Source organism: Homo sapiens, chromosome 3 (genome assembly GCF_000001405.40).
Source record: "Homo sapiens chromosome 3, GRCh38.p14 Primary Assembly".
Classification (NCBI taxonomy): domain Eukaryota; kingdom Metazoa; phylum Chordata; class Mammalia; order Primates; family Hominidae; genus Homo; species Homo sapiens.
The window spans coordinates 111,038,096-111,045,313 of NC_000003.12; the positions used below are offsets into that span (position 1 = coordinate 111,038,096).

Below are 7,218 nucleotides of genomic sequence, written 5' to 3' on the forward strand. Positions count from 1 at the left end.
AGACATGGAAAGTAAAGGGATGAAGAGATATTTCATGCAAACAGAAACCAAAAGTGAGCAGGAGTAGCTATACTTAGATGAAACAGGCTTTCTGTCAAAAACAGTAAAAAACAAAAACAAACAACAAAACCATGAAAATGAAGGTCATTATATGATAAGGAGACTAGTCCGGCAAAAGGATATAACCATTCTAAATATATATGCACCCAACACCAGAACACACAGATTCATAAAGCAAACATTATTAAATATAAAAAGAGAGATAAACTGCAATACAGAAATAATGGGAAACTTCAACGCCCCACTCTCAGCTTTAGACAAATCATCTAGACAGAAAATGAACAAAGAAACATTGGACATAAGCTGGACTTTAGATCAAATGGGCTTAATAGACATTTACAGAATATTCTACCCAACAATGGCAGAATACACATTCTTCACATCAGCCCATGGAACATTCTCTAAGACTGATCAGATGTTAGGCTACAAAACAAGTCTCAACAAATGTAAAAATCATATCAAGTATCTTCTCAGACTAAAATCAAATAAAACTAGAAATCAACACCAAGAGGAACTTTGGAAAGTATATAAATATATGGAAATTAAACAACTTGCTCCTGACACCTGTTGAGTCAACAAATAACATGGAAATCAAAAAAAGAATCTTGAAACAAATGAAAATGGAAACATAACACATCAAAACATGTGGGACACAGCAAAAGCAGTACTAAGAAAGAAGTTTATAAAAATAAGCCCCTAAGTTTAAAAAAACAGTTTTGAAATAATCTAATGATACACTTCAAGGAACTAGAAAATTAAGAACAAACCAAACCCCAAATTAGCAAAAGAAAAGAAAGAAAAAAGTCAAAGCAGAACCAAATGAAATGAAGACTAAAAAATAATATAAAGGATCAATAAATTAAAAGTTGCTTCTTCAAAAAGATAAACAAAATTGATAAACCACTGTATTAGTCTGTTCTTACACTGCTAATAAAGACATACCTGAGACTGGGTAATTTATAAAGTAAACAGGTTTAATTGACTTACAGTTCAGCATGGCTGAGGTCTAAGGAAACTTACAATCATGGCAGAAGAGAAAGCAAACACAACCTTCTTCACCTGGTGGCAGAAAGAAGTGTCAAGCAAAAGGGGGAAAATCCTCTTATGAAACCATCAGATCTCGTGAAACCCACTCACTATCATGAGAACACCAGCATAGGGGTAACCACCCCCATGGTTCAATTACCTCCCACTGGGTCCCTCCCATGACATTTGGGGATTATGGGAGCTACAATTCAAGATAAGTGTGTCCCCAACCAACTATCATCTTGAATTATAGTTCCCATAATCCCCATGTGTTGTAGGAAGGACCCAGTGGGAGATAACTTAATCATGGGGGCGGTTTTCCCCATACTCTTCTCATGTTAGTGAATAAGTCTCACAAGTTCTGCTGGTTTTATAAGGGGTTTCTCCTTTCCCTTGGCTCGCATTTTTCTCTTGCCTGCCACCATGTAAGAGGTGTCTTTTGTCTTCCACCATGAGTATGAGGTCGCCCCAGCCTCTTTTCCTTATAAATTACCTCTTTTCTTTATAAACCTCTCTTCTTTATAAATTACCCAGTCTTGGGCATGTCTTTATCAGCAGTATGAAAATGGACTAATACAGTAAATTGGTACCAAATAGTGGGGTACTGCTATAAAAGTACCCAAAGATGTGGAAGCGACTTTGGAAATGGGTAATAGGCAAAGGTTGGAATAGTTTGGAAGGCTCAGAAAAAGACAGGAAAATGTGGGAAAGTTTGGAACTTCCTAGAGATTTGTTGAATGGCTTTGACCAAAATGCTGATAATGCTATGGACAATGAAACCCAGGCTGAAGTGGTCTCAGATGGAGATGAGAAACTTGAAGGAACAGGAGTAAAGGTGACTCTTTCTATGTTTTAGCAAAAGGAATGGCAGCATTTTGCCTCTGCACAAATTGAGATCTGTGGAACTTTGAACTTGAGGGAGATGACGTAGGGTATCTGGCGGAAGAAATTTCTAAGTGGCCAAGTGTTCAAGAGGAAGAAGAGCATAAAAGTTTGGAAAATTTGCAGCCTGACAATGCAACATTCTCATGGGAGAAATACAAGCCTGCTACAGAAATTTGTGTAAGTAACAAAGAGCCCAATGTTAATCACCACGACAATGGGGAAAATGTCTCCAGGGCATGTCAGAGACCTTTCCAGCAGCCCCTCCCATCACAGGCCTGGGAGCCTAGGAGGAAAAATGGTTTTGTTGGCCAGGCCCAGGGCCCCCCTGCTGTGTGCAGCCTAGGGACTTGGTGCCCTGCATCCCAACTGCTCCAGTTGTGGCTAAAAAGGGCCAAGGTAAACTTCAGGCCATGGGTCCAGAGGGTGCAAGCCCCAAGCCTTGGCAGCTTCCACATGGTGTTGAGCATGCGGGTGCATAGAAGTCAAGAATTGAGGCATGGGAACCTCCACCTAGATTTCAGAGTATGTATGGAAACACCTGGATGTCCAGGCAGAGGTGTGCTGCAGGGGTGGACCCCTCATGGAGAACCTCTGAGCAGTGCAAAATGGAAATGTGGGATGCAAGCCTCCACACAGAGTCCCCACTGGGGCACTGCCTAGTGGAGCTGTGAGAAGAGGGTCACCATCCTTCAGACCCCAGAGTGGTAGATCCTGGAAAAGCCACCAGGCACCTGGAAAAGCCACAGGCACTCAACACCAGTTTGTGAAAGCAGCCAGGAGGGGGGTTATACCCTGCAAAGCCATAGGGGTGGAGATGCCCAAGCCTGTGGGAGCCCACCTCTTGCATCAGCATGACGTGAATGTGAGATATGGAGTCAAAGAAAATCATTTTGGAGCTTTAAGATTTGATTGCCCACTGGATTTTGGACCCGCATGGGGCCTGTAGCCACTTTGTTTTGGCCAGTTTCTCCCATTTATCCAATGCCTGTACCCCTATTGTATCTAGGAAGTAACTAACTTGTGTTTTATTTTACAGGCTCATAGGTGGAAGGGATTTGCCTTGTCTCAGATGTGACTTTGGACTGTGGACTTTTGAGTTAATGCTGAAATGAGATAAGACTTTGTGGGACAGTTGGGAAGGCGTGATTGTTTTTGAAATGTGAGGACATGAGATTTAGGTGGGCTCAGGGGAAGAATAACATGGTTTGGCTCTGTCCCCACTACAAATCTCATCTTGAATTTTAGCTCCCTTAATTCCCATGTGTTGTGGGAGGCACCTGGTGGGAGATAATTGAATCATGGGGGCAGTTTCCCCCATACTGTTCTTGTAATAGTGAATAAGTCTCACAAGATCTGGTCATTTTACAAGGGGTTTCCTCTTTCACTTGGCTCTCATTTTTCTCTTTCCTGCTGCCATGTAAGATGTTCCTTTCACCTTTGACCACGATTGTGAAGGCTCCCCAGCCACATGGACCCCCTGTGAGTCCATGAAACTTTTTTTTCATAAATTACCCAGTCTCATGTATGTCCTTATCAGCAGTGTGAAAACAGGTTAATACACCATATGAACCACTAACTAGACTAACCAAGGAAAGACCCAAATAAACAAAATCAGAAATGAAAAAAAGATAATATACCATTATCAAGTGTGATTTCAGAGATGCAAGGATGGTTCAACATATGCAAATCAAATGTGACATAACAACAGAATGAAGAACAAAAACCATATGATCATCTCAATAGATGCAGAAAAATCATTTGACAACAGTCAGCACCCTTTATGATAAAAACGAAAAAACTCTCAATAAATTGCACATGAAAGGACCATACCTCAAAATTAAAAAGACCATATGCAACAACCCCACAGCTAACATCATACTGAATCAAAAAAGTTGAAAGCCTTTTCTCTAGAATTTGAAAACTAGGATGCCCATTTTCACCACTCCTATCCAACACAGTGCTGGAAGTCCTAGCTAAAGTAACCAGACAAGAAAAAGAAATAGAAAGCACAAAAAATTGGAAGAGAAAAAGTCAAATTGTTCTTTGCAGATGACATAATCTTATAGCTAGAAAAAACAAAAGATGACTCAAAAAACTCTCAGAACTTATAAACAGGTTTACTAAGGCTGCAGGATGCTAAATCAACATACAAAAGTCAGTAGCATTTCTACATACCAATGGTAATATAGCCGAAAAAGAAATCAAGACAATCGCATTCACAATAGCTACAAAAAAAAAAAAAAAAAAAGAAAGAAAAAGAAATATCTGGAAATAAATTTAACCAGAGCTAAAAGATCTCTACAAGGAAAACTACAAAACAATGAGGAAAGAAACTGGAAAGACATGAACAAATGGAAAGACATCTCATTCTCATGGTTTGAAGAATTACTGTTGTTAAAATCAGGGGTCCTCAACCCCTAGTACTGGTCTGTGGGCTATTAGGAACCAGGCCACACAGCAGGAGATAAGCCACAGGCGAGCGAGCATTACCGCCTGAGCTCCATCTTCTGTCAGATCAGCAGCAGCATTAGATTCTCACAAGAGCATGAACTTCATTGTGAACTGCACATGCAAGGGATCTATGTTGTGTGCTCCTTATGAGAATCTAATGTCTGATGATCTGAGGTGGAACAGTTTCATCCTGAAACCATCCCCCCTCCCCTGACCCTAGTCTGTGGAAAAATTGTCTTCCACAAAACTGGTCCCTGGTGCCAAAAAGTTCGATGACTGTTGGTTAAAATGTCCATATTACTCAAAGCAAGCTATAGATTCAATGCAATCTCTATCAAAATGCCAACATAATTCTTCAAAGATATGGAAAAAACAACTTTAAAATTAGTATGGAACCCAAAAACAGCCTGAATAGCCAAAACGATTCCTAAGCCAAAAGAACAAAGCTGGAAGCATCACATTACCTGACTTCAAAACATATTACAAGTAACCAAAACAGCATGGTATTGTATAAAAATAGACACATAGACCAATGGAACAGAATACAGAACCCAGGTATAAAGCCACATATCTACAGCCAACTGATCTTTGACAAAGTTGCCAAGAATATACATTGGGGAAAGGGTACCCTCTTCAATAAATGGTGCTGGGATAACTGGATAAGCATATGTGGAAAAACGAAACTGGGCCTTTGTCTCTCTCCTTATATAAAATCAATCAAGATGGATTGAAGACTTAAATGTAAGACCCAAAAGTATAAAACTACTAGGAGAAAACATAGGAAAAGCTCTTCAGAACATTGGTCTAGGCAAAGATTTTATGGCTCAGACCTCAAAAGCACAGGCAACAAAAACAAAAATAACAGGACTACATTAAACTAAAATGTCTCTGCACTGCAAAAGAAATAACAAACAGAGTAAAGAGACAACACCCTTTTTTTGTTTGGTTTTAGAGACAGGGTTTTGCTCTGTCACCCAGGCTGGAGTGCATGGGCACAATCATAGCTCACTGCAGCCTCAAATTCCTGGGCTCAAGTGATTCTCATGTCTCAGCCTCCCAAATAGCTGAGAGTACAGTGTGTGTCACCACATCCAACTAGTTTATTTATTTACTTTTGTAGAGACAGGATCTTGCTATATTGCCCAGGCTGGTCTCAAACTCTGGCTTCAAGTGAACCTCTCATCTTGGCCTCCCAATGCACTGGGATTACAGGCATGAGCCATTGTGCCTGGCCCTAACCTCTTGAATGGGAGAAAATATTTGAAAATTACTCATCTGACAAGAGACTGATATCCAGGATATACAAGGAACTCAAATATATTAACAGTTAAAATAATAATAATAATCCCATTAAAAAATGGGCAAAGAACATGAATAGACATTTCTCAAAAGAGAACATCTGGATGGCCAACAGGTATATGAAAAAATGTTCAATATTACTAATCAACAGGGAAATGCAAATCAAAAACACAATGAGATATCATCTCACCCCATTTAGAATGGTGATTATTAAAAAGATGAAATATATCAGATGCTGGCACAGATGTGGAGGAAAGAGAATTCTTACACACTGTTGGTGAAAATGTAAATTAGTACAACCACTATGGAAAAGAATACAGAGATTTTTTCAAAAAAACTAAAAATAGAACTAATATACTATCCAGTAATCCCACTACTAGGTATCTACACAAAGGGAAAGAAATCAATATTTCAAAAGGGTATCTGCACTCGCGTGTTATCATAGCAGTATTCACAATAGCAAAGATATGGAATTAGCCTAAATGCTCATCGATGGACAAATGGATAAAGAAAATGTGGCATATGTATACAATGAAATGTTATTCATCCATAGAAAAAAAATAAGATCATGTCATTTGCAGCAACATGTATTGAACTGAAGGTCATTATGTTAAGTGAAATAAGCCAGGCACAGAAAGACAAATACCTCATGCTCTTACTCATAGGTGGGAGCTAAAATATTTGATCTTGTGGACATATAGAACAGAAGAATAACAGAAACTGGGAGGGAGGCTGGGGGAAATGAAGAGATGTTGATTATGGGTACAAATATACAGTTAGATGAGATAAATAAGTCCTAATGTTTGATAACAGACTAGGGTGACTAAGCAATAATATTATGTATATTTCAAAGTAACTAGAGGAGAGGACTTTAAATGATACTAACATGTAAAAATGATAAACACTCAAGGTGGTGAATACTCCAAATAGCCTGACTTGATCATTATACATGCTGTGAGTTTAACACTCAAATGTACCCCATAAATATGTAAATTATTATGTATAAATAAAAGGAGGCGAAAAGCAAAAAAAAATTTAAAAATTAAAAAATATTTGAGGATGATTCTATATATTCTCAACAAATTACTCTTCTAAATCTTCTGATACAATATTATCTCTGAGCAAGTCTACATTATCTGGAAAATGAATGTTATAAAAAAGTATAAACATTTATTTGTAAGAAAAGAAATATTAAGTTTTTTAGGATTGAAACCAATTTCATCTAGCAAAATTGCATTTTCTAGTACTATGAGAGAAGACCCCAAATAAAATACCTTATTATTTGATGTTAATGAGGCATACTAAATAAAGTGACAGGGTAAAGAAAAAACCACTGGGTCAGATACACTTTCCTTTAGATGTGTAAGAAAAGGTTTTAAAATCTCACTATGAATGAGAGTGGGAATCTGATTAATACTATAAACAGACTCAAATCCTTTTATATCTGTGTTGTTACTGCAACAGAGTGGACACAAAACATAAAAACATGAAAAAGTA

General features: G+C 38.2%; 1 long non-coding RNA gene across 2 annotated transcripts in view; it reads right to left on the minus strand.

Moving 5' to 3' along the window:
• LOC151760 (putative uncharacterized protein) overlaps positions 1-7,218 on the minus strand; it is a 183,623-nt gene that overhangs the window by 149,952 nt on the left and 26,453 nt on the right. The window lies entirely within an intron of this gene.